This window comes from Homo sapiens, chromosome 2 (assembly GCF_000001405.40).
Source record: "Homo sapiens chromosome 2, GRCh38.p14 Primary Assembly".
Lineage (NCBI taxonomy): Eukaryota > Metazoa > Chordata > Mammalia > Primates > Hominidae > Homo > Homo sapiens.
In genome coordinates, this window is record NC_000002.12 from 96,674,013 (window position 1) to 96,698,936 (window position 24,924).

At 52.8% G+C, this 24,924-nt stretch overlaps 1 protein-coding gene across 20 annotated transcripts in view, besides 4 other annotated features; it reads left to right on the forward strand.

The window, feature by feature from the left end:
* FER1L5 (fer-1 like family member 5) overlaps positions 1-24,924 on the forward strand; it is a 62,120-nt gene that overhangs the window by 31,249 nt on the left and 5,947 nt on the right. For 8 of the 20 annotated variants that reach the window (XM_011512110.3, XM_011512122.3, NM_001293083.2 and 5 more), the window contains 22 exons: positions 10,315-10,439; positions 11,317-11,417; positions 11,928-12,105; positions 12,183-12,338; positions 13,804-13,935; positions 15,201-15,364; positions 15,632-15,746; positions 16,475-16,577; positions 17,178-17,341; positions 17,433-17,600; positions 17,813-17,951; positions 18,092-18,169; positions 19,494-19,675; positions 19,899-20,060; positions 20,348-20,452; positions 21,497-21,649; positions 21,730-21,892; positions 22,040-22,065; positions 23,514-23,564; positions 23,648-23,749; positions 24,025-24,144; positions 24,659-24,820. In XM_011512110.3, coding sequence (XP_011510412.1) covers positions 10,315-10,439; positions 11,317-11,417; positions 11,928-12,105; positions 12,183-12,338; positions 13,804-13,935; positions 15,201-15,364; positions 15,632-15,746; positions 16,475-16,577; positions 17,178-17,341; positions 17,433-17,600; positions 17,813-17,951; positions 18,092-18,169; positions 19,494-19,675; positions 19,899-20,060; positions 20,348-20,452; positions 21,497-21,649; positions 21,730-21,892; positions 22,040-22,065; positions 23,514-23,564; positions 23,648-23,749; positions 24,025-24,144; positions 24,659-24,820 — 2,849 coding nt within the window. Of the gene's footprint in view, positions 1-10,314; positions 10,440-11,316; positions 11,418-11,927; positions 12,106-12,182; positions 12,339-13,803; positions 13,936-15,200; positions 15,365-15,631; positions 15,747-16,474; positions 16,578-16,694; positions 16,988-17,177; positions 17,342-17,432; positions 17,601-17,812; positions 17,952-18,091; positions 18,170-19,493; positions 19,676-19,898; positions 20,061-20,347; positions 20,453-21,129; positions 21,227-21,496; positions 21,650-21,729; positions 21,893-22,039; positions 22,066-23,513; positions 23,565-23,647; positions 23,750-24,024; positions 24,145-24,658; positions 24,821-24,924 lie in introns of those variants that run through there. The other 12 variants (XM_011512111.3, XM_011512114.3, XM_011512119.3 and 9 more) reach the window with 10 other exon arrangements.
* Positions 11,906-12,631: an enhancer, noted in NCBI's record as "H3K27ac-H3K4me1 hESC enhancer chr2:97351655-97352380 (GRCh37/hg19 assembly coordinates)". NCBI's record gives its function as "activates a minimal SCP1, AML or CMV promoter by ChIP-STARR-seq in naive H9 embryonic stem cells {active_cell/tissue: H9 hESC(naive)}" and the evidence as "EXISTENCE:reporter gene assay evidence [ECO:0000049][PMID:30033119]".
* Positions 19,708-20,209: an enhancer, noted in NCBI's record as "H3K4me1 hESC enhancer chr2:97359457-97359958 (GRCh37/hg19 assembly coordinates)". NCBI's record gives its function as "activates a minimal SCP1, AML or CMV promoter by ChIP-STARR-seq in naive H9 embryonic stem cells {active_cell/tissue: H9 hESC(naive)}" and the evidence as "EXISTENCE:reporter gene assay evidence [ECO:0000049][PMID:30033119]".
* Positions 20,928-21,472: an enhancer, noted in NCBI's record as "H3K4me1 hESC enhancer chr2:97360677-97361221 (GRCh37/hg19 assembly coordinates)". NCBI's record gives its function as "activates a minimal SCP1, AML or CMV promoter by ChIP-STARR-seq in primed H9 embryonic stem cells {active_cell/tissue: H9 hESC(primed)}" and the evidence as "EXISTENCE:reporter gene assay evidence [ECO:0000049][PMID:30033119]".
* Positions 21,473-22,016: an enhancer, noted in NCBI's record as "H3K4me1 hESC enhancer chr2:97361222-97361765 (GRCh37/hg19 assembly coordinates)". NCBI's record gives its function as "activates a minimal SCP1, AML or CMV promoter by ChIP-STARR-seq in primed H9 embryonic stem cells {active_cell/tissue: H9 hESC(primed)}" and the evidence as "EXISTENCE:reporter gene assay evidence [ECO:0000049][PMID:30033119]".

The window sequence follows — 24,924 nt, forward strand, 5'->3', positions numbered from 1 at the left end:
TATTGAGATATAATTCACAAGCCATACAATTTGCCCATTTCAGTTTGTACAATAGTTTCTTAGTATATTCACAGAGTCGTACAACCATCACCACAATCAATTTTAGAACATTTCCTCATCCGGAAAAGGAACCCTATGCCCATTGGCAGTCACCCCCCATTTATCTCCCACCTCCCCAGCCCTAGGCAACCACTAATCTTTCTTCTGTTTTTTGTTTTGTTTTGTTTTGAGACAGAATGTCTCTCTGTTGCCCAGGCTGGAGTGCAGTGGTGCGATCTCGGCTCACTGCAACCTCCGCCTCCCGGGTTCAAGCGATTCTCCTGCCCCAGCCTCCCGAGTAGCTGGGACTACAGGCACATGCCACCACGCCTGGCTAATGTTTTGTATTTTTAGTAGAGACGGGATTTCACCATGTTAGCCAGGATGGTCTAGATCTCCTGACCTCAGGTGATCCACCCATCTCGGTCTCCCAAAGTGCTGGGATTACAGGCGTGAGCCACCGCACCCGGGCATCTACTTTCTGTGATTGTAGATGTTCCTATTCCAGACATATCATATATGGAACATATAATATGTGGTTCTTTGTCAATGGCTTTCACTTAGCATGTCTACTTGATTTTAGTATTATGAAATATTTAAAAAAAAGCATATGAAATGTGTATGTATAGTTTAAAGAAGAATAATAAAATGAGGGAGGCTGAAGTGGGAGGATCACCTGAGCCTGGGAGGCAGAGGTTGCAGTGAGCCAAGATCGCACCACTGCACTCCAGCCTGGGTGACAGAGTGAGACCCTGTTTAACCAAAAACTAAAAAAAAATAATAAAATGAGTACCCATGAACTCACCACCCAGCTTAAAATATAGAAAACTATCAGCATCTTAGAAAGGGTCCCTGTTTGCTCTTCCCAGATTCCTTCACCCAACAAGTAACCATGACCCTGACTCTTGTATTAATCACCTTCTTGCTTTTCTTTTTAATTCTTCACCTGTGAATGAAATCCTAAACATGATACTGTTTTTATATTTTACATAAATGGACTCTTTCGGTCTGTATTCATCTGTCTTAAATCTTCTGCTCAACATTAAACTTTGTATGTGGGTATGTGTACTGCAGTTCATTTTCACTTCTGCATAAATTCCACTGTGTGATTATACCACAAAGTGTGTGCTATATGTAGGCATTTAGGTTGTATCTTTTTTTGCTATTATAATAATTTTGTTATAAACATTCTTGTGCATGTCTCCTGGTTACAAGTGCAAGACTTCCTCTAAATTATATACCTATGGGTGGAAAAGAAACTCAAAGCAAAAGTGATTATACCAAATTACACTCTCCTCAGCATGGTATGAGAGTTCCTATTACTCTACCTTCTCACCAGTACTTGATATTGCCCAGCCTTTTTTAAAAAAATAATTAATTAATTAATTTTTTTGAAATGGAATCTTGTTCTGTTGTCCAGGAGGGAGTGCAATGGTACAATCTCAGCTCACTGCAACCTCTACCTCCCAGGTTCAACCAATTTTCCTGCCTCAGCCTCCCAAGTAGCTGGGATTACAGGCGCCTGCCACCATGCCCGGCTAATTTTTGTATTTTTAGTAGTGATGGGGTTTTGCCATGTTGGCCAGGCTGGCCTTGAACTCCTGACCTCAAGTGATCTGTCCGCCTTGGCCTCCCAAAGTGCTAGGATTACAGGCGTGAGACACTGTGCCCAGCCTATTTTTAAAATTGTTTATGGAGACAGGGTCTCACCATGTGGCCCAGGCTAGCACCACTACGCCCAGCTAATTTTTCATACAGGTGGGATTTCACCATGTTGCCCAGGCTGGTCTCAAACTCCCGAGCTCAAGCAGTCCACCCCACTTGGCCTCCCAAAGTGCTGGTATTACAAGTGTGAGCCACTGCGCTCAGCCCGGTTGATTATCAATTTTATAGTTAGTAGATTATGTGGTCTAAGAAATATCTGTCTATCTCAAGATCATGAAAATTGTCTCCTCTGTTTCATTCTACAAGCTTTATCGTTTTATCTTTTTTGTTTGGGTTTATGATCCAATTTGACTTAATTTTTGCATATGGTATGAGGGAGGAATTGAGATTATTTTTCTCTATACAGATAACCAGTGGAGCACCATTTGCCTGAAAGTAATTCAGTAATTCAGTCCCACATTGAATTACTTTGCCACCTTTGTTGAAAATCAGTTAACCATATTATTGATCTATTTGCCTATCCTTATCCACCACAACCTCCGCCTCCTGGGTTCAAGCAATTCTCCTGCCTCAGCCTCCCAAGTAGCTGGGATTACAGGCATGCGCCACCATGCCTAATTTTGTATTTTTAGTAGAGATGGAGTTTCTCCATGTTGATCAGGCTGGTCTCAAACTCCCGACCTCAGGTGATCTGCCCACCTCAGCCTCCCAAAGTGCTGGAATTACAAGCGTGAGCCGCTGGGCCCGGCCTAGTTGTTCTTTTACAAAATAATTTTGGCTATTGTACAAGTCTTTGGGTTGGACTTTTGTTGAAAATGGGTTACTTCCCATTTTCCTATTTTAGCATAAGCTCAACAATTTCTACAAAAAAGGCCACTGGAATTTCCTGTGTTCGTTTTCATCAGGTATTTTTTGTTTTTTTTTTTTTTTAGTATTACATTCTATCTATTGACAATATGTATCTTTGGATTATTTTTAGTGGTTGCTCAAGGAATTACAATATTGACCCTTAACTCATCATAGTCTACTTTGAGTTAATAATATGCCACCTCACAGAAATAATTGTTTTATTATATGTAATATACCATGCAATTAATTACAGTATAATTGCATTGATACCTTACATTATCTTTGTTATACCTTTTTTTAAATATTTTTGGGACGGAGTCTCACTCTGTCGCCCAGGCCGGAGTGCGGCGGTCTGCCTCTTGGGTTCCCGGGTTCAAGTGATACTCCTGCTTCAGCCTCCCCAGTAGCTGGGATTACAGGAGTGTGCCACCACGCCCAGCTAATTTTTGTATTTTTAGTAGAGATAGGGTTTCGCCACGTTGGCCAGGCTGGTCTCGAACTCCTGACCTCAGGTCATCCGCTCGCCTCAGCTTCCTAAAGTGCTGGGATTACAGGCGTGGGCCACGATGCCCGTCCTATCTTTGTTATACATTCTGGAATTGGCTTGCTAATATTTTGTTGAGGCTTTTGCATCTATGTTGATGAGTAAAATCTTATTTTGTTAGTAATCTATTTAATGATGTAATTTACATACCACAGAATTCTCTTGCTTTGTAGTGACTCCCCTGTCCCCACCCCCAGGTCCACACAACTATTAATCTACTTTTGTCTCTGCATATTTACTTTTCCTGGATGTTTCATATAAATGAAATTATACAATATGTCATCTTTTGCATCTGGCTTCCTTCACTTGGCGTAATGTTTTCCAGGTTTATCCATGATGCAGTGTGTATCAGTTCTCCATTCCTTTTCATTGCCAAATAGTATTCCATCGTATGGGTGTACCATCCATCATTTGTTAATCCATTCATCAGTTGATGGGCATTGTTCCCACCTCTTAGCTATTAAGAATAAAGCTGCCCGGGCACGGTGGCTCACTCCTGTAATCCTAGCACTTTGGGAGGCTGAGGCGGGTGGATCACCTGAGGTCGGGAGTTCGAGACCAGCCTGACCAACATGGTGAAACCCCGTCTCTACTAAAAATACAAAATTACCCGGGCATGGTGGCACATGCCTGTAATCCCAGCTACTCAGGAGGCTGAGGCAGGAGAATTGCTTGAACCCAGGAGGCGGAGGTTGCAGTGAGCTGAGATCACACCATTGCACTCCAGCCTGGGCAACAAGAGCGAAACTCCGTCTCAAAAAAAAAAAAAAAGAATAAAGCTGCTGTGAACATTCGTATACAAGTCTTTAAGTGGAATGGCTTTTTAAGAAACTGCCAAGCTTTTCCAAAGTGGCCACACCATTTTATATTCTCCTAGAAATGTAAGATGATTTCAGTTTCTCATTTATCATCTGTCTTTATTTAGTATAGTAGGCACACAGTGGCAGCTCATCGTTGTGTTAATCTGCATTTCATGTAATGACACTGAGCACCTTTTTTTTTTTAATTTTTATTATTTATTGATTTATTTTTTGAGACCGAATCTCGCTCTGACACCCAGGCTGGAGTGCAGTGGGGCAATCCCAGCTCACTGCAACCTCCGCCCGCCCCCCGGGTTCAAGCAATTCTCTTTCCTCAGCCCCACCAAGTAGCTGGGACTACAGGCATGTGCCACCACGCCCGGCTAGATTTTGTATTTTTCGTAGAGACAGGGTTTCACCATGTTGCCCAGCCTGGTCTCAAAACTCCTGGGCTCAAGCAATCCACCCACCTCGGCCTCCCAAAGTGCTGGGATTACAGGTGTGAGCCACTGCACTCAGCCTATTTTTATTTTCTATTCTTTGAGACAGGGTCTCGCTCTGACACCCAAGCTGGAGTGCAGTGGTGCAATCACGGGCTCATGGCAACCTGTGCTTCCAGGGCTCAGGTGATCCTCCCACCTGACTCCCAAGTAGCTGGGACTACAGGCACGCACCACCACACCTGGCTAATTTTTGTATTTTTAGTAGAGACGGAGTTTCTCCATTTTGTCCAGGCTGTTCTTGAACTCCTGGGCTCAAGCAATCCACCCACCTTGGCCTCCCAAAGTGCTGGGATTACAGGCATGAGCCATTGTGCCTGGCCACATCTTTTCATGTGCTCATTAACCATTCATTTATCTTCTTTAGTGATATGTCTATTCAAATGTGTTGCCTGTTTTTAAATTGCATTGTTTCTCTTATTATTGAGTTGCAATAATTCATTATATATTCTGCATACAAGTCCTGTACCAGATATGTGATTTGCAAATTGTCTGTGGCTTGTCTTTTCATTTTCTTAGTAGTGTCTTTTGAAGTGCCAACATTTTTAATTTGATAAAATCCAATTTATTTTTTCTTTTATGGTGTTATAGCTAAGAACTCTTTGGTTAACTCATGATTGTGAAGATTTTTCTCCTATTTTTTCTTCTAAGTTTTCTAGTTTTGGCTGGGTGTGGTGGCTCACGCCTGTAATCCCAACACTTTGGGAGGCTGAGGCAGATCACTTGAGCCCAGGAGTTCAAGACCAGCCTGGGCAACATGGCGAGATCCTACAGAAATTTTTTAAAAAATTAGCTGGGCATGGCGACACACACCTATAGTTTTTTTTTTTTTTGAGATGGCGTCTCGCTCCCTCACCAGGCTGGAGTGCAGTGGCACAATCTCGGCTCACTGCAACCTCCACTTCCCAGGTTCAAGCAATTCTCCTGCCTCAGCCTCCTGAGTAGCTGAGATTACAGGCGCGTGTCACCACGCCCAGCTAATTTTTCTATTTTTAGTAGAGACGGGGTTTCACCATGTTGGTCAGGCTGGTCTCGATCTCGTGACCTCGTGATCCACCCGCTTCAGCCTCCCAAAGTGCTGGGATTACAGGCGTGAGCCACCGCACCCGGCCACACCTGTAGTTTTTACAGTTTTACCTCTTACACTTATCTGTATGATTCATTTTGAATTAATTTGCATGTGAATATCCAGTTGTTCAAGCAACATTTGTTAAAAAGACCATCCTTTCCTCATGTGTTTTCCTAGGTTACATGTTAAAATACTTACTCTGTTCCATTGTTTAATTTTCTACATCAGAGGCTCCATTTATGGGTTTAGTGATTCTCCTTGGTTTTATCTGTATCTGTCATTTTCTCCCTGATCCTTTTTTGACCTATTCTTTCCATTTCATTTCGGTTACTTTTCTTATTTCTATCCTTATTTCCATGCCCCTCACTGAATTGTCTGCAGCATCTAATCTCCCGTGGACTACTTATGTTACCTTCCCATCTCTGTTTTTGTTTTTTCTTCTACTTGTTTTCTGAAGTTTACGGGCTCACATTGCCTCATAAGCTCCTGAGCTCCTTCAGGGAGTGTGTTTTTGCTGGCACTTTCTGCAATCTGCCCCTACTCAGCATGCTTCCCGCTGTCTGTCTTGCTAGTCGTGTCCCGCAGGTGGCTGCTGCTGCTGCGCTTCACCCCTTGGCTTCGGTGGCGGTCACAGTTGCTTTTGGCAGTCCTTACGTGTATTTTGAGTCTGCAGATTATATCTGTCTCCTTGGTTTGCTGAAAACTGAGTTATTTTCCTTCTGCTTGTTGCTTTTGTAAGTTCTCCAAGAGTAGGAGAGGAAAATTGCTGTTGTGTATCCTCACACTGAGAGCCCCAGGCATGCATCTCTGCTTATTTATCATTCCAGTCTTTCACTCAAAGGCCAGGGTCTGAAACTAGTGTCTTCCAAAAATCCCGGAAAACTATATTTTCCCTTTGAAAATTACCTCTTCCCCACTGTATCTCCTTCCGGAACTCACTCTGTCCTCTGTGGACCTTCTCATTCTGTCCTTCATATTTTTAAATCTCTTCCATATTTTTCATCTTGTCCTCTCTCTGGGCTGCATTCTAGATGATTTCTTCTAGATCTTCATAGAAAGTCCTTAGGTGACCATTCTATTTAAATTACTCGGCATCTCCCTTTTTCCCTTCCCCACTTATCTCCTTAGCATTTTCCATCTTTGACACACTGTATTTTACATACTGATTTTGGGTGTTTTGCCCCACTGTTTTTTAATTTCTTAAGTAAACTTTCAAGTAGAACATACCTATGGAAAAGTACACAAACCAAAGTGTCAAGCTCAGTGAATTATCACAAAGCAAACATGCCCTTGTAATAGCACTCAGATCACGGATCTGGAGCACTCCAGAGGCCCCTGTGCCCACCCCACCCCACCAAGGCCCTCTAGATCATTTGGATCAAAAGGAACAAGTATCAAGCACACATAAATGCAGCCCAAAACACTTTGCTTAACTACAGCCACTCCTCACCTCCATGGCATGACCATAGTTCACTGCAGCCTTGAACTCCTGGCCTCAGCCTCCCAAAGCATTGGGATTGCAGGCGTGAGCCGCCGTTGCCCTGCCTCTTTAAAAAATAATTATTATTATTATATTAAAAATCATATGGTGTATTCTTTTGATATCATGGTTTGTATATATATGTAGCCTGTGTAGCCTGAAGAGTGTCCAACAAAAAATTTAATTTAAAGTGGTCTCAGGTAGTTTGTTACCAGCCTGGGTAACACAGAGAGACCCTGTCTCTAATTAGCCAACCATGGTGGCTCATACCTGTAGTCCTAGCTACTCAGGAGGCTGGGGTGGGCTTGAGCCCAGGGGTTTGAGGCTACAATGAGCCGTGATCATGCCACTGCATTGCAGCCTGGGTGACAGAGTGAGACCGTGTCTCAACCAATCAATAAAACAAAGTGGTCATAAATAAATAAATAAAAATAAAGTGGTCCCTGCTTGGCAGTGTCCCAGGTAACTGGAAGAAGCAAGCCAATCCTCTCTGGAGAATGAAACTTTAGCCAGACCTCAGAGAATGCCTACGAAGTTCCAAGAAAGTGAGCAGCTGAGAACCAGTGTTCTCTTTAAAAAATAATAATTATTATTTTTTAAAGATAATTTGTACATTTGATATATGGTTTTGATATGATATAAAAAATCATATCGTGGTTTCTTTTGCTCACTGTTCTATTTGTGCAGTGTGTTCATAGATCCAGATGACATAGGGTATAGTCATAGCTCATTCACTGACTGCTGTGTATTATTCTATTGTGTGAACATACCATAATTTATCCTTTCTACTACTGAGAGATTTTTGAGAGATTATTTTATTTATTTATTTATTTATTTATTTATTTATTTGAGAAGGAGTCTCACTTTGTTGCCCAGGCTGGAGTGCAGTGGCGTTATCTCGGCTCACTGCACCACCTCTCGGGTTCAAGCAATTCTCCTGCCTCAGCCTCCAAAGTAGCTGGGATTACAGGTGCACACCACCACTCCTGGCTAATTTTCATATTTGTAATAGAGACGGGGTTTCACCATGTTGCTCAGCCTGGTCTTGAACTCCTAACCTCAGGTAATCTGCCCACCTCGGCCTCCCAAAATGCTGGGATTACAGGTGTGAGCCACCATGCCTGGCCCTTTTTTGTTGCTGTTTTCGAGGTGGAGTCTGGCTCTGTTGCCCAGGCTGGAGTGCAGTGGTGCAATCTCGGCTCACTGCAACCTGTGCCTCTTGGGTTCAAGTGATTCTCCTGCCTCAGCCTCCCAGGTAGCTGGGATTACAGCTGCCCACCATCACACTCGGCTAATTCTTTTTTTATATTTTTAGTAGAGACAGAGTTTCGCCATGTTGGCCAGGCTGGTCTCAAACTCCAGACCTCAGGTGATCCTCCCGCCTTGGCCTCCCAAAGTGCTGGGATTACAGGCGTGAGCCACCGCACCCGGCCAAGAGATTTTTTGAGAGATATTTTGGCTGTTTCCAACTTTTGGCTATTATGATGAGAGCTGCTATGAACATTTTCTCCATGTGTCTCACTGATGCTGTATATGCCCTTCTGTTGGGCATATACAGGAGCGGAGTTGATGGGTTAGGACTATGTACACTGGTTCTCAGCTGCTCACTTTCTTGGAACTTTGTGGGCATTCTCTGAGGTCTGGCTAAAGTTTCATTCTCCAGAGAGGATTGGCTTGCTTCTTCCAGTTACCTGGGACACTGCCAAGCAGGGACCACTTTATTTTTATTTATTTATTTATGACCACTTTGTTTTATTGATTGGTTGAGACACGGTCTCACTCTGTCACCCAGGCTGCAATGCAGTGGCATGATCATGGCTCATTGTAGCCTCAAACTCCTGGGCTCAAGCCCACCCCAGCCTCCTGAGTAGCTAGGACTACAGGTATGAGCCACCATGGTTGGCTAATTAGAGACAGGGTCTCTCTGTGTTACCCAGGCTGGTAACAAACTACTTGAGACCACTTTAAATTAAATTTTTTGTTGGACACTCTTCAGGCTACACAGATAACATAAGCACCGAATGCCAACATCCGTGAGGCCCCACTTGCTACAACTTTTGGGGAAGATTTTCTTCCCCTTCACCCAGAGAGCCACACTGGAGACAGGCAAGCTTCCCCACTGTCCCCTCCTGTGTGATGGGTCAGTTCTCATTCCCCGGCCCCAACGGCTTAGGGTTTGGAGTTCGTGATCTGCATGGTGTATGACTGCTATAACAAAGTACTACAAGCCAGGTGGTTTTAGACAACAGAAACTCATTCTTTCATAGGTCTGGAGGCCAGAAGTTCAAAGTCAGGGTGTCAGTGTTGACCCCTGCCGAGGGCTCTGAGGGAGAATCTGGCCATTGGTTTCTGGCGGTTGCTGTGGTCCTTGGTGTTCCTGGGCTCACAGCTGCATCCTGCCTCTGCTCTCGCACAGTGTCTCCCTGTGTCTGTCCTCACTCAACTGCCATCTCTCTGTCTCCCTTCTTATAAGGACCCCAGTCCTTAAGGGCCCACCCTGCTCCAGTATGACCTCATCCTAACACATTACATCTGCAAAGCCCCCACCCCCCGCCCAAATAAGGCCAGATGCTAAGGTCCTGGGGTTTGGGACTTGAGTATGCCTTTCCGGGGGGGACACAGCCAGTCTGTAGCACATGGGTCCCTGTTAGACTGCCCACCTGGTCAGCCCTAGGCTTTCTCTTCTGCCCCCCATTCCTCCCATAGTCGCCAAAGAAAAGCACAAGTTCTCCAAGAACTTTCCAGAAATTTGGAGAACAAAAGTCAGCTTTGGCTTTCGCTTGCCTCACAGATTTTCTGCATGTTAAATGTTCGTTTTCTGTGGATTTCTGCCTCTAAGGCCAACTCGGCAGCAGTGCGGTTCAGAATCCTCTACGTTTGGTCTCACTTCCACCTCATTTCAATAAGGAACATGGCAAGGGAACCCAGTCTGTGGCACCCATCGGGGGTGTTTATCTGTACTTGTTCCCCCTGCCCCCGTCCCACCCAGAGGCGTGCCCCGTGCCCCTACACCTGGCATCTCGCTTGAGGTTCAGAACCCAGGGCTCTGGAGCTAGGCGCCTGCGTTATGACCGCCTGGCTATGCCACCTCAGGGAAACTGCTTCCCATTGCTAGCCTGGATTTTCCCACTGGAAACTGGGGACTCTGGAAGGCCATGTGACAATGAAGGGTCAAAGTGCACACATTCTCACATTCTCAGTTGGGCCCCAGCCCAGCCTCCCAGCTGGAGGGCTCCAGTCAGCATTGTTAGCAGGTCACATCTTTGAGGGTGCAGTGGTCCAGAGAGGTCCTCGGAGGGAGCACAGTGAGAAGAGACCTCCCAGAATCCCCCAGACACCCCATCCCTCCATGTGTCTCTGTGTCTCAGGGAACATCTACCATTATGTGCCCTGGTACAACACCAAGCCTGTCGTGGCCGTGACCTCCAACTGGGAGGACGTCAGCTTCCGCATGAACTGCCTCAACCTCCTCCACTTCACTCGGGACCGCCTGGTGAGTGGTGCGGGAGCCGATGCTGGGAAGACACCTGTTTCAGAGTGTGGCTGGGAGACTTGGGAAACTGCATCACAGTGGCAGGAAACTGGTCACACAGCTCATTCATGCATTCATTCCACACTGTTGAGAAGAATGTGCCAGAAGCAGGGTAGGCACTGAAGACACAAAGATCATTAAACACAGTCCCTGTCCTCACTGTCTAGGGAAGTTAGACATGCAGGCAGTGACTGTGCAGTGCAACTAGGGCTATGATGGAGATGCAGGTACCAGGTGCTATAGGGTCAGAGAGAGAAGATGGGGAGAGGAGAGGAAGAGTGGATAGTCAGAGGAGGTGTGCACAAAGGAGATGACACATCAGCAGGGTTTTGAAGAATGCATAGGATTTTGTTGGGGGCTGGGTGGGGGTAGAAGGGAATAACCTGCAAAGCCGCGGCAATGTGCTGGTTTCTGAAGTTCGGCAGGATCTGGGGGAGGCATGGAGGTGACATGAAGATAAGACCATAGAAGCTGGAAGGAGTGAGATCAGAAACTGTCTCAAGTGCCTGTTGGGAGTGTAGTTCTCGGGAGCCACCTGGGGCTGGCACCTCTGGCATGACTTTCTCATGCCTATGTGGAGGTCAGGGCTCTGCACTGCTTTCCCAGTCTTACCCCATCCCGGCTTCTTGCCACCTGTTTCTTCTGTTGGGAAGCAGGAAGGATGTGGGGGGTTCCTAGCCTCGGAGTTGTGGACAACCTTGAACTGATATCACCAGGTTATCCCTCAAAGTTCCCAAGGTCGTGGCTGAAAACATCTTGGGCCAATCAGCCCTGTGGCCTGTCCAGCTGGGCTCCATGCTGAGGCGGGCTCTCTCACCATTTCTCTCCTGCTGGGCAGAAAGCCAACCTGGACACCCTGAAATCCACGCGGAATCCGAAGGATCCAGCTCTCCTCTACCAGTGGGAGAAACTGCTGAGGGAGCTGGCAGAGGACTGCAAGTAGGAGTAGGGGCACTCCGGGATACAGCTGGCCTGGAGCTGAGCCAGATCTGGGCCTGGGGACTCAGCGCAGTGCCCTGAACACCTCCCCCCGCCCTCCTCGGGGAGGAGCACTGCTCAGACCTCTCCCCAGCGGGAAACCCCAAGAGTCGCTTCTCCCTTCCCATTCAGGCCCCCTGACCGCCCCATCAGAATGGTCCCTGCTACCCCACACCCACACCCGAGGCTCCTCTTAAGCCAGCCTGTCCTCTTCCTCCAGACAAGCCCACATAGCCCCACCTCCCTGCAGGCCCTGGGAGGAAGGGAGAGGACTGGATGAGAACCCAGGGCTGGACACACAGCGAGCAGGCTTCCTATGGAGCAGTGGGAAGGGCTCCTGGGCCAGGCTAGCAGCAGATGGGGGCAGGATCTTGAGGCCAGGAGGGGCACGCTGGCCTAAGGCAGGGCAGGAATGGTGACACTGGGAGGCAGTAGAGAGGTCCAGCCCCTGCTACCCTGTCCTGGCCACAGGCGCCCTCTGCCCTGCATGACCTATCAGCCCAAAGCCACCAGCCTGGACAGGAAGAGGTGGCAGCTCCGCAGCCTCCTCCTGCAGGAACTGGCCCAAAAGGCCAAGCAAGCCAAGCCCAAGGACATGGTGGCCACAGCGGAGGACTGGCTGTACCGCCTCAACACCGTGCTCCCTGAGGTGGGTGCTGCACACACTGGCCTGCAGCAGGGCTGGGAGCCAGCCGCGCAGGGCCTGACATTCTCCCACCTCGGCAGCCCCAGATGGGCCTCCCTGACGTGATGATTTGGCTGGTGGCCAAGGAGCAGCGAGTGGCCTATGCACAGGTGCCTGCCCACTCCGTCCTCTTCTCCCCGGCAGGGGCTCTGCACTCCGGCAGGCTCTGTGGGAAGATACAGACACTCTTCCTACAGGTGGGAATCAGGGACTCCTCAGGGGAGGACAGGGCTGAGAAATGCCCCCAGGGGAGCCCCCTGAACTCGCAGGGCAGCCCCTATGGGGCCTGTTTTCCTGGTCCCTTAACCACATGGAATGGGGTTGAAACAGTCCCCAGAGGAAGAGAGGGGTCTGTGGCTGTCAGCATGTTGGGTGATGCCAAGTCCATGTACCTCCTAAATGTTCCCCAAATCCACCTCCTCGCTGGGCACGGTGGCTCACAGGTAATCCCAGCACTTTGGGAGGCTGAGGCGGGTGGATCACCTGAGGTCAGGAGTTTGAGACCCAGCCTGACCAACTTGGTGAAACCCCGTCTCCACTAAAAATACAAAAAAATTAGCTGGGCATGGTGGCGCATGCTTGTAATCCTAGCTACATGGGAGGCTGAGGCAGGAGAATCGCTTGAACCTGGGAGACGGAGGTTGCAGTGAGCTGAGATCGTGACACTGTTCCAGCCTGGGTGACAGAGCGAGACTCCGTCTCAAAAAAAAAAAAAAAAAAAAAAAACAGAAAACAAATCCACCTCCTCTATCATCCTCATGGCCACCATTTGGTCCAGCCCCTTGTCATCTCTTCCCTGGACCGTGACGGGGTGATCTCCAAAATATTTAATGTCTATAAGGTTTGGTACCAGCCCATCATATCAGATGCAAGCTATAAATAAGACTAAACACCCTGACCACCACCCCCACCCCTGGCTGTGACAGTGGCCTCCCTGCTTCTAATCCTCCCTGGGGGGACGTGGGGGCCACTCCCTCCCCCTTCAGAGACTCCCTGGCTCCCCACTGCCTCCTGGAGAAGGTGCCGCCTTGCCACCTGGCCCCTGGCCCCTGTTCCTGCATCCATTCTCTCTGGCCCATACTCTCAACAGTAAGGACACTCTGGGCTTTCCTGGCCCCAACTGTACCTGCCCTTTGCCCTCTCCACCAACACGCAAGGCTCCTTCCATGACCACCAGAGTCCTTCGCATCCCGCAAGAGCCCCTGAGACATGAATCCTGGCTCTGTGTGGCCCTAGGCCAACTCCTGGCCATGCCCAGCCCTCAGCATGCTGCTCTGTAGAATGGGCCTGGCAATCACCATGCCCTCTCATGGTGGGGTGTGAGGATCCAGGACTATGATGCACACTGGGCAACTGGCACAGTGCCAGCCCATAACAAGCACACAAGGAATGTCCATCAGTCCCATTGTCAACATCCCTGCTACTCCCTCTGTGAGGCACTCCCACCCTCTCTGCTTCATGGCTCCCAGGGTGGAGCCACCCCACTCTGGAGGGCAGAACAGAACTCCATGCCATTCACTTACAGCTCCAGCACTCAGCTCAGTGAGGGCCCCGCTCCCAGGGCTCAGGGGGGAAGGGGCAGGTACAGCCCACTTGGGGGGTGGCCGGGGTGGCGTTCAGGGTGTTTAGTGCCCCTGTGGGACCGATCGGCCTCTGGCTCAGTACCCAGAGGGTGAAGGACAGAAGGATGTGCTCCCAGCTCACCTCCGGGTCTGCATGTGGCTTGGCAATGTCACAGACAGCAAGGACCTGCAGCTGCTCCGCCAGGGTGACACAGCGGTGTACGCCGAGATGGTGAGTGGTGAGCGGCAGCCCAAGGCCAGGGCAGGCACGCGGGGGTGGGGGTAGGGTGGCCTCGTAGGGAAGAGATGGCCTCCCTGCAGGGGATTTGGCGTGAGAAGGGAGGGTGTAGCTGCAGTAGCCCTGCACTGAAGAGGAAGAAAAAATTCCTGACCGAAACTGAGGGCTAGGAGATAGTCTGCTGGAGGAGGCAGAGATTAAAGCAATCTCGGACACTGCCAGCTCTGGTCTCTTGTTGATGCTCCATACACGTGTGGAGACAAAGGGGGCGACTAAGTGACCTCCGGGGCCTGGTCCCCCTCTCCCTGATGCAGGTTTATTCCGAGCTTTCTCCTAGTTCATCAACAGCACGTGAAGTGAGCAAGGCTCTGACTTGCAGGGGCCTCACCCATCACCAACAGGGCAGCCCGGGACCCCTGCAGGCCCCAGTGGGGTCCCAGGAGGTGAAGGCCTAGAATGGTAGAGGAGTAGGATCTGAGGCATCTGCCCACAGAACCATCAACCTGGGGAGTGGGCGGGCGGTGGCCAGGGACTGCTCTAGAACCAGAGGAGGGGAGATGTCCTTGGCTCCCCGGGGGAAGGACATGGCTCAGGAAGCCACATGAACAGCAGAGGGGAAATAAGGTTTGAGCGTCAGGCTTTTTAACTTACTGAATTAAAACATACGTTTGCAGTGTCTAAGTTGCATGTGTAGATGGATACATCATAATATGTCTAACCAGCTCCGTAGGTCTTGGAGGCGCAGAGGTGGAGAGCAGTTCAGGGTGCGGGGCAGGGAGCAGGGCCTGCATGCTCAGCGGGCACCGGAGGACTGGGCTGGTGCCTTTGATGCCAGCTCCCTGCTCCCTCGTCACTGCAGACCCTGGGGAGCCTAGCCCTCCTGCACCACTTGACCACCATTGCTGCCTCTGGGCCTTTTCAACCACACTCTCCCTGCTGAGCACTCAGGCCCTGCTCCCTCCCCTTCACCCCAGACCCCTCTCCACCTCTGTGCCTCCAAGCACTACATAGATGTCTTATGATATCTCTGTCCACACATGCAGCATCCACCCCACTCTGCCAGCTGAATGATCCAGGGCAGGGTTGACCTCTGGGCCTCAGTGCCCTCACCTGTGCAATGGGGACATGGCCCTTTCTTGCCTGGCTACCACATTTTTAGGATGCCCCTGCAGCCCAGAGTCAGGGGGCCCAGGGGAGGCCCATGTCCCCGCACTTTGTGCTAGAGGAGGCGGCCGCCCTGACAAGCTTCCCTCCCCTAGTATGAGAATCAGGCCAAGTATAAAGACCAGTGGGGGCAGCAGGGGCTGTATCACTGCCCCAACTTCTCGGATGTCATGGGGAACAAGACCCTCCCCATGACGGATTTCCAACCACCCCTGGGATGGCACTGGCAGGACAGCTGGACAGTGGAACCTCAGAGAAGGTAAGGCCAGAGGGGGCAGGCCCCACCAGAGGGGACACTTCACCTGGGAGGGCCAGTCCGCGGCAGCCCAGAAAGATGGGTACCTAGCCCCTAAGCCTGGTGCCAGAGGGCCGAGGTGCACCAGGCCAAGGGCCCTGCCCACCACCCTGTCCTGCCCAGAGCAGGTGGGGATGGGATGCCAGGTATGGGAACGCTTGGCCAGCAGAAGACGGCCCTAGGGGCTGCTTGGGGAGTTGTGCTGGGAACTTGGGGTCTCATTACCCCCAGGCTCCTCCTGGACATAGACATCAACAAGAGCCAGGTGCTGGAGGAGGTATATGAGAACCAGGGCCGTGACACCAGAGGGGCCTGGGGGCCTGCCGCCATCCCAAACACAGACGTGGTGAGCAGGGCCGAAGCTGCCTCGGGTTAGGGGGCAAGCAAGGCCACCAGGCGGGGCGCCTTGGAAGCTGGGGGTCCCAGTGGAAAGGGTCTGAGCCCTATGCCCTGCACTATGTGTGGGGCCCCGGGTGAGCGCACCAGCCCTCAGGCACTCTCTCTCAGCACTGATGGGGTGAGGGGTTTGTAGAAATACCTTAAATAAGACTGAGAAACAACAAAAGGGAGGCAATGTTTCTTCCTAGGCCTCCTTCAAAGGTGCTGCTTACCCCGAAGGAGAGAATCTGCTTGGGGTAGGCTAACCCAGCACTGTCCAGTAGAACTTTCTGTGATGATGGAAATCTTCTATATCTGCACGTGTGGCTATTGAGTGCTTAAAATGGGGCACTAGTGAGATGAAGGAATTAAACTTTGAATTTTAACTCATTTAAGCTAGAGTAGCCCCAGGCGGCTGGTGGCTACTGTATTGGGTAGTGTGGGTTTAACTGATCTCAAAAGCATGCTAGTCTCCCCTTTACAATGAGGAGGAGCAGCTTCCAGCGCAGAAAGGCAGGTCCTTGGAGCATATTCAGTGATGGCTCTGGTGGTATGAGGTGTGGCAAGCACAGTCTGGCCTGGAGTGGGAGGCTGCTGCGGCCACAGCAGGCACGCACACAGGTGTGGGAAGAGGGAGGGAGGGCAGCCTCCTCCCAGCTCATGTGCCCCTCGCTCGCCCTCTCTGTCCACCTGCAGAATGGACAGCCCATGGAGGCCCGGGAGAACGTGAAGTGCCCCCAAGGCTGGCACTTTAAGAAGGACTGGGTGGTGGAGCTGAACCACGCAGTGGACAGTAAGGGTCAGTCGTTTGGTCAGGGTTGGGATCGGGAGAGACCAGGGCCTCAAAATAACGGCAGCCAGCAGGGTGGGATCAGAGCAGCCAAGCCCTCCATGGTATACGCCTAAATTCCTGGGGCCCCCTGGCCTCCAGAGCTGGGTCTCCAGCGTTTCCTTACACATAGGCCCCAGTTTTGAGACAGCACAGGCCCTCAGTGTGTCCTGAAGCCTGGCCCAGAGCAAGGCGTGGCAGATGCTGGTGAACAGGAGGCTATCACGTGATGGCTGAATTCACCCACAGCAGCTCCAGGGCAGGAATGATGATGGGCTGCAAGTCTCAAGGTCCGGGCTCAAGATGCAAGCTTTGCTGCTTATGGGCTGTGTGGCCTTGTGCGAGTCACAGGACTTCTCTGAGTCTCACCTGCTTCATTTGTAAGTTGGGCAGCTGGGCCCAGGCCACTCAGGTGACACAGTGTAGCCACACTCTCCTTTCCACACCTCAGGGCCAGAGACCTGGATGTGAGGGAAGTAATGCCCCTCTAGGGCCTGTCTCCCGGGTTTGTCCAGGCCTCCCAACCTGCGGGCACCTGAGGACTCAGAGGCCATGGTCCACCCACCGCAGGCTGGGAGTATGGAGTGGGGATCCCACCGTCGGGCCTGCCCCAGGTCTGGAGCCCGGTGGAGAAGACCTACCACTCGTGCCGCCGCCGGCGCTGGGCGCGTGTGCGCTTCAGGAACCATGGGGAGCTGAGCCACGAGCAGGAGACCCTCTCCTTCCTGCAGCTGGTGAGGGGTCGACGGGCGCCCTGGCTGGGACTGCGGGCAGGGCCGCCTTGGCTGCTGCAGGAACACAACCCTGCTCTCCTCCCCACCACAGGGCCTGGCCAAGGGCGAGGAGGAGGGCTGGGAGTATGACACCTTCGGCTCCAAGTTCCACCTCAACCCTCAGCCCCAGAGCCGGTTCCGCCGCCGCTGCTGGCGCCGCAGGCTGGCCCCCAACAAGGACAAGGGCATCGCGCCCATATTCCTCCTGGAGGGGTCCTTGGTAAAGCCTCACAGGCTGGGTGATGCCTGCCTGTAACCCCACCTCCCAGAGAAGCCAGGGCCTGGCCTGGCTGGGGCGCTGACTGCGGAGGAAGGGCCTCTGTTCCTCAGGCTTGCGAGGGTGGCAGTGTGAGGGAGGAGGGTGACTGGGCCTGGGCTAGAGGAAACAGGAGCAGCACCCAAGAGCCTCAGGGGAGACTGTCCTGGGTACAGGCTATGGATCTGAAATACCACGCTGGGAAGGAAGAGGACAGCAAGACATGGCCATGGGGTCTGGACAGACAGTTCAGGGACCCCCAGAGGCAGGACACCCGGCCCCCCAACTTGCCCTTCATCTACTGCACCTTCAATAGTAAGCACTGACTTGGGAGTCTACTTGAATGGCCCCAGAGGCCAGTACCCGAGGGCGGGGGGGGGGGACAGGGTGGGGGCAGTCAGAGGGAGCCGCTGGGGTCCTGGGGCAGGTGACAGGCATGGCTTCTCTTTCCCCAGAGCCCCACTACTACCAGCTCTTCTGCTACATCTACCAGGCCCGGAACCTGGTGTCCAATCAGATCCTGACATTCCAAGGTAGGTGGCAGGCAGCCTTGTCCCCAGCTGAGGACAAGGCCTCAGGGAGGAGAGCAGGGTTGTGTTCCTGCAGCAGCCAAGGCAGCCCTGCTTGCAGTCCCAGCCAGGGCCCCTGCCTGTCGGCCCCTCACCAGCTGCAAGCCTTGTCCCTGGGTCCTGGTGTCAGCTGCTCAGCAGTGTAAAGACAGGGGCATGGATGAGGGTGACAAAGACGCAGACCCCTCTCCCAAGCAGCTCATGGTCCTGGTTTGGGGAAAAGACACAAAACAAAGACTACGAGGCAGGGCTGCTCTTGAGGCGTGACCCCAGTGCTGTGGAATTAGAAGTGGGAGCTGAGAGGGCTCCATCCCAGTGGTGGCCACTTAGCTGGGCATGGAAGAGGGAGGAGCTTGTCTGGCAGTTACTAGTGGGGCATGAGGGCAAGAGAGAGGGCAGTATGCTTGGGAACCATGTATCACTCGTGTTTGGACAGAGGCGGAGGGGCCTGTGGGGAGGGCCTGTCCTTGGTCCTGTGAGGACGCCCCAGTGCAAGTTTCAGGAGACAAGCCATGTGCTCCAGCCTGGTCCTTATTGCTGTTTGTAGGGAGTGGGGACAGTAGGTGGCAGGGCTCCAAGGGAGCTGTGTCCCTTGGGCTTCACCACCCACATCGAGAGGCCCATGTGACGCTCCCTGATGCCAGGCCACTTGCTGCTGCCATGAAAGGGCAGCCACAGAGCTGGGCGCGGTGACTCACACCTGTAATTCCTGCACTTTGGGAGGCCAAGGTGGGCCGATCACGAGGTCAGGAATTCGAGACCAGCCTGGCCAACATGGTGAAACCCCGTCTCTACTAAAAATACAAAAATTAGCCGGGCGTGGTGGCGGGCGGCTGTAATCCCAGCTATTCGGGAGGCTGAGGCAGGAGGATTGCTTGAACCCAGGAGGCAGAGGTTGCAGTGAGCCGAGATGTGCCACTGCACTCCAGCCTGGGCGAAAGAGCGAAACTCTGACTCAAAAAAAAAAGAGAAAAAAAAAAAAGGGCAGTCACAAGTGGCCTCGTCCCTAGAACTCCTCCAGAGGATCCCCTGCCCTCCATCTCTGTGAGGCCCAGGCTTCAACCCTGGGAGGCATACAGAACTCGTGGATGGGACCAGATGATGCCTGGCCTCTGGTGACAGGCCCCGGTGCTCTGCAGCTGACTCTGAGGGGGCCTCTGGGAGGCCTCAGTGGCTGCCCTGCCTGACCCTCCTGGGCCCCACTGGGTCCAGTGGCTGCAGCAGCAGAGGAGAGGAAAGCCCCTCTTCCCAGCTCAAGACACTGCTACCTTCTCCTCTACCCCTCCAGGGCCCTTCATTCGGGTGGTCTTCCTGAACCACAGCCAGTGCACCCAAACCCTGAGGAGCTCTGCAGGCCCCACATGGGCCCAGACACTCATCTTCCAGCACCTCCTTCTGTACGAGAACCCACAGGACACCAAAGAGAGCCCACCGCTTGTGGTGCTGGAGCTGTGGCAGCGTGACTTCTGGGTAAGTTGGGCTGGGCAGAGCAAGGGGAAGAGGACCTACCTCACAGAGTGGCTGAGGGGATTTATTTTAGATGAAAATGTATGGAAAGTGCTCCCATGAGGCCTGACGTGCAGACAGCACCATGGAAATTCACCTGCCAGCTGTTGCCCTTGCCTTGAGAAGCCCAGACAGAGCTGGGCCCTGCCAGCATGGCCTCCATGCTTTGTGAACTTCCCCCCTCCAGGGCAAGGAGAGCTTGTGGGGACGGAGCGTGTGGCCCCCAATGGTCTGGCTGGATCTCCAGGACCGGATCCTGCCCCCCATGAGGTGGCATCCCCTTGTAAAGGAGTTGGGGAAGGAAGAGGGCGAGATCTTGGCATCCTGTGAGCTGATCCTCCAGACTGAGGTATTGGGAGAGAGGGCCTGGCTGGGAAGTGTGGCACTCAGTGCCCCTCCCCGTCCCACCCCCAGCCAGCGGGGGCCAACTCCACCCTGTCAGGAAATGCCTGGGGCCCAGGATCCCGAGCTGTGGGCTTGGTGACGCTGGCCTGACCAGCCTCTCCCCTAAGTCCCCCTGCCAGCCCCTACCCATGGGGCTCTGGGCTCGGTGAGGCCTCTGAGGGACCTGCTTGAGGTGAGGGTGAGGGCAGCAGGACCAGCCCAGAGGGCCTCATGCTCCCTGCCCTCCCCCAGAAGCTTGGAGAGAAGCAGCTGCCTATCTTAAGCGTTCCCTGGAAGAATGGGGCATACACACTCCCCAAGAGCATCCAGCCCACGATAAAGAGGATGGCCATTGAGGTGCTGGCGATGTGGGATGGGGACGGTGGGCAGGACAGGCGGGGGTGGTCTGGAGTGCGCTGCAGCCTTCTGCTGGTCCTCCCTGACTACTGGATCCAAAGCTCACACCCCGAAAAAGACTACCTGGGAGGTGGAGGGAGACAGGAGAGAAACGAAGAGGTTCTGGTGTAACACTGGAAATCATTTTACCACAAACCTCTGCAGTGAGGAGTAGGCAAAGGGCTGTAGCATGCATGATCACTTGTGGGACTCACGCTGCCCCTGCGCAGTAGCAACTACTTTGCAGAGAAGGAAATAGAGGCTCCAAGAGATAACACATTCCACGCACAGTGATGCAGGGACTAACTGACAGGGCCATTTAGGCCCAGCCCTGTCTGACTGCAGATGCCAGGATGTTGCTCACCTCTCTTCTGAGAGTAGCATGAGGGTCCTCATTCAGAAGCTGTGTGCCCTGCCGCAAATGTGGCAAAGAGCACAAGACGGTCAGGCCTCTGGGACTGAAGGCTTCCCCAAGATCAGGCAACTTGGCTGGTTCCCGCTTTAGGCCCCGAGGAGGCCCAAAGTCAGGGTGCAGCTATTTCCTGGCAGGATGCCAGGTCACTGAATGGCCATGGGGTCCTCAATGAGCTAGACGGCACAGGGGCCCTGAGAAATCCAGGCACTTCCTGCTTCTTCAGGCCTCAGAGGCAGTCGGCTTCAGGAACTCCTACCTGAGAACTGATGAGGCCAGACAAGGCAGCGGGTGAGGAGGGGCAATGCCTGCGGGCTATGGAGGTCAGTGGAGGATGCAGCCAGTGGCCAGAGGTCACCTCCCTCATGGGTTGGGGGACAGCGTCCCAGCCCCGAGGGCAAGCACTGATCCCTCACAGGACGGGGAAGCCTGTCCTTGTGCGCCTTCAGACACTGGCTCCTCTGCAGCCCCATTCCCTGGCCCTGCAGGCTCCTGCTGCACCGCTATTGCCCCTCAGCCCCCTTCTCTGGCCAGGACCCCATTACAGAGGCGCTGCCTGCCCCTTGTCCTGCCCTCCTTCTTTGTTCTGGTAGATCCTGGCCTGGGGCCTTCGGAACATGAAGAAGGCGAGCTCCCCCCAGCTCCTGGTGGAATTCGGGGAAGAGTCCCTGAGGACAGAACCCATCAGGGACTTTCAGACCAACCCCAACTTCCCCGAGTCTGAGTCTGTCCTAGTCCTCACAGTGGTAAGAGGCCCCAGGGCAGGGGCTGGGCAGCCCTCTTCTTCTGTGGGTCTCACGCTCCCCACGTCTCCTCGGGATTGCAGCTCATGCCGACGGAGGAGGCCTATGCACTGCCCCTCGTGGTGAAGGTGGTAGACAACTGGGCCTTCGGCCAGCAGACCGTGACGGGCCAGGCCAACATCGACTTCCTCCAGCCCTACTTCTGTGACCCCTGGGCTCAAGACTATATGCACCCAAAGCTTCCAAGTACGGCCCTTCCTCCGTGCCTTTCCCCAGGCCTCACAAGCGAGCCTGCACTGGGAGTGGGGCAGGCCCTGCTACCCCGTGGGGTTGGTGCTTCCTCCTCAGCCCTCTCCCCATCCTGAGACTCGTCCCTGCGCTCTCCCCGCACAGCGCTGTCTGAGAAGAAGCACCAAGACGTAAGTAAGGGCTGCAGGCCCACCTTCTCCCATACTGTTGACGGGGTATAACCCTTGGGCCTAAGGAGGGGTGTCCATTAAACAGTCTGGATACCCGTGCCCAACTGTGAGGCCCACCTCGCTCTGTAGGGTCCTCAGCCTATAGGGTCTCTGTAGGTCTCTAAGCCTGACTGCATGTTAGAATCATCTGAGAGTTTTTGATTTTTTTAAACTTTTCAATCTTTTTTTTTTTGAGACACAGTTTTGCTCTTGTTGCCCAGGCTGGAGTGCAGTGGCACAATCTTGGCTCACTGCAACCTCCGCCTCCCGGGTTCGAGAGGTTCTCCTGCCTCAGCCTCTTGAGCAGCTGGGATTACAGGTGCCCGCCACCACGCACGGCTAATTTTTTGTATTTTTAGTAGAGACAGGGTTTCATCATGTTGGCCAGGCTGGTCTCGAACTCTTGTCCTCAGGTGATGCACCCGCCTCGGCCTCCCAAAGTGTAGCAATTACAGGCGTGAGCCACCATGCCCGGCCTTAAATCTTAAAAAAAAATTTTTTTGGCTGGGTGCAGTGGCTCACATCTGTAATCCCAGCACTTTGGGAGGCTGAGGCGGGCATGTTACTTAAGGTCACGAGTTCAAGACCGGCCTGGCCAACACGGTGAAACCCCATCTCTACTAAAAATACAAAAAAAAATTAGCTGAGCATGCTGGTGCATACCTGTAATTCTAGCTACTATGGAGGCTGAGGCACAAGAATCGCTTGAACCCCAGAGGTGGAGGTTGCAGTGAATCAAGATCCCACCACTGCACTCCAGCCTAGGCAACAGAGTGAGACTTCCATCCCCCACTTAAAAAAAAATTTATAGAGACAGGGATCTTGCTATGTTGCCCAGGCTGTTCTTGAACTCCTTAGCTCAAGCGATCCTCCCACCTTGGCCTCCCAAAGTGCTGAGGTTACTCAGCCTCACCTGAGAGTTTTAAAACTCCTGAGGCCTAAGCCACTGATCTATCAGAATTGCTGAGGTAGGACCCAGGCATCAACATTTTTTCCAACCCCTTCCACACAGGTGATTCCAATGTGCTTTCAGGGTCCCCAACTATTGCTCTAAAGTGGCACTTGTCAAACCTGAATGTGCAGGAATCCTCCAGACATCGTCACCAAAAGCAGACTCTTAGTAGGTCAGGGTGGGGCTTGAGGTTCTGTATTTCTGAGCCCCTTCCAGAATCCAGAATCCAGAATCCAGAATCCAGTCTGCAGCTATGGGCAATGAGGACATTGAACTATCTGTCCCCTCCTTCTTGCTCCCTAGATCCCATTTCTAAAGACCCCTGAATTAAAAGGTCTATGTGAAAGGCAAGGGCAAGGGCACCAGGGAAGCTCTGGCCTCAACCCCCCTCTCCTCTCTGAAGTCAGAGCCCATGAGTGAGCTATGGCTTTCCCTTGCTCACCCTCTCCTTTTTCAGTTCCTAGGCTACCTCTACAGAAAGTTCTGGTTCAAGTCCAGTAAAGCAGAGGTGATGAAGGCTCAGCCCCATTCAGTGCAGGGAGGTGGGGGGCTGCCCCTGCCCGAGGCCAGAATGATCCTCTTCTCTGCCAGGATGAGTATGAGCATGAGGTGGACTGGTGGAGCAAGCTGTTCTGGGCCACAGATGAGCACAAGTCCCTGAAGTACAAGTACAAAGACTACCACACCCTCAAGGTTTGAAGGAGGGAAGAAATGGGATGGAATCAAATCTCCCACTGGAGGAGGCCAGCAGAGCTAGCCTTGATTCCTCTGGGAAGCCTCAAGTGGGAAGGTTCCCGCACTGTCTCCCAGAGACAGCTCCAGCTGCCACCCTGTCTGAAGCACACAGTGCTGGCCCCAGGGCCGCTGACTGCCAGATGCTTTGGAGTGAGACCTGGGAGCTGGTGGTCCCTCCATCTCCTAATCACGGGAACAGTCTCCACCAGCCAGGGTTCCACACACCTCTGCAGGTGTATGAGTGTGAGCTGGAGGCCGTGCCAGCCTTCCAGGGCCTGCAGGACTTCTGCCAGACCTTCAAACTCTACCAGGAGCAGCCCAAGTTGGACAGCCCCGTGGTAGGGGAGTTCAAGGTGTGTGTCCACCCCAGCTTAGCTGCCCCTGTCTCCTTGTGCACCTTCTGTCCCTGGAAAACGAATAAAAGCCCTGGCTCTATATGCTCATTGTGAAGATGGAGCAGGGCTTGAGAACGTTCTGGGAGTGGAGGAGCAGAGATTCGCCTCCACAGGAACTCGGGGAGCGCTCCCCTTCCCCTCCCCACCCTGGCCTATGCTGGCCTCCCAAGGCTGCAAAGCCACAGAGAACAAGCCCGAACCTGAAGGGATAGATGGGGTGGAATGAGTCCACAGCGGCACAGACGGGGAACTCACCTACTGACTGCGGTTCCTTTGCCAACACCCTGTTTCAACATAGTGGGCCCTGCTGAACACCTTCTGTACCTGCCTCCACTGTCCTCATGGCCTTCTATCCCTGCCACCCTCAGCCCAACCCTCTCTCTCCTGAACATGGGCTGGGGCACCTCCCAGAGGGCTTTACAGAGCTGGCCAGCACTGCCAGGCTGGGCCCCCAACACCCTCCCCCCGCCAGGGCCTTTTCCGCATCTACCCCTTTCCTGAGAATCCAGAAGCCCCAAAGCCCCCGCTGCAGTTCTTGGTTTGGCCAGAGAGAGAGGACTTCCCCCAGCCGTGCTTGGTGCGGGTGTACATGGTACGAGCCATCAACCTGCAGCCCCAGGACTACAATGGCCTGGTAAAGAACAGTACCTGCCCCACACAGGTGCCCCGCACGCTCCCCTCAACCCATCTCTGGGAGCCCCCTCCGACTGCTGACACACAGAATGCCAACTCCCCATA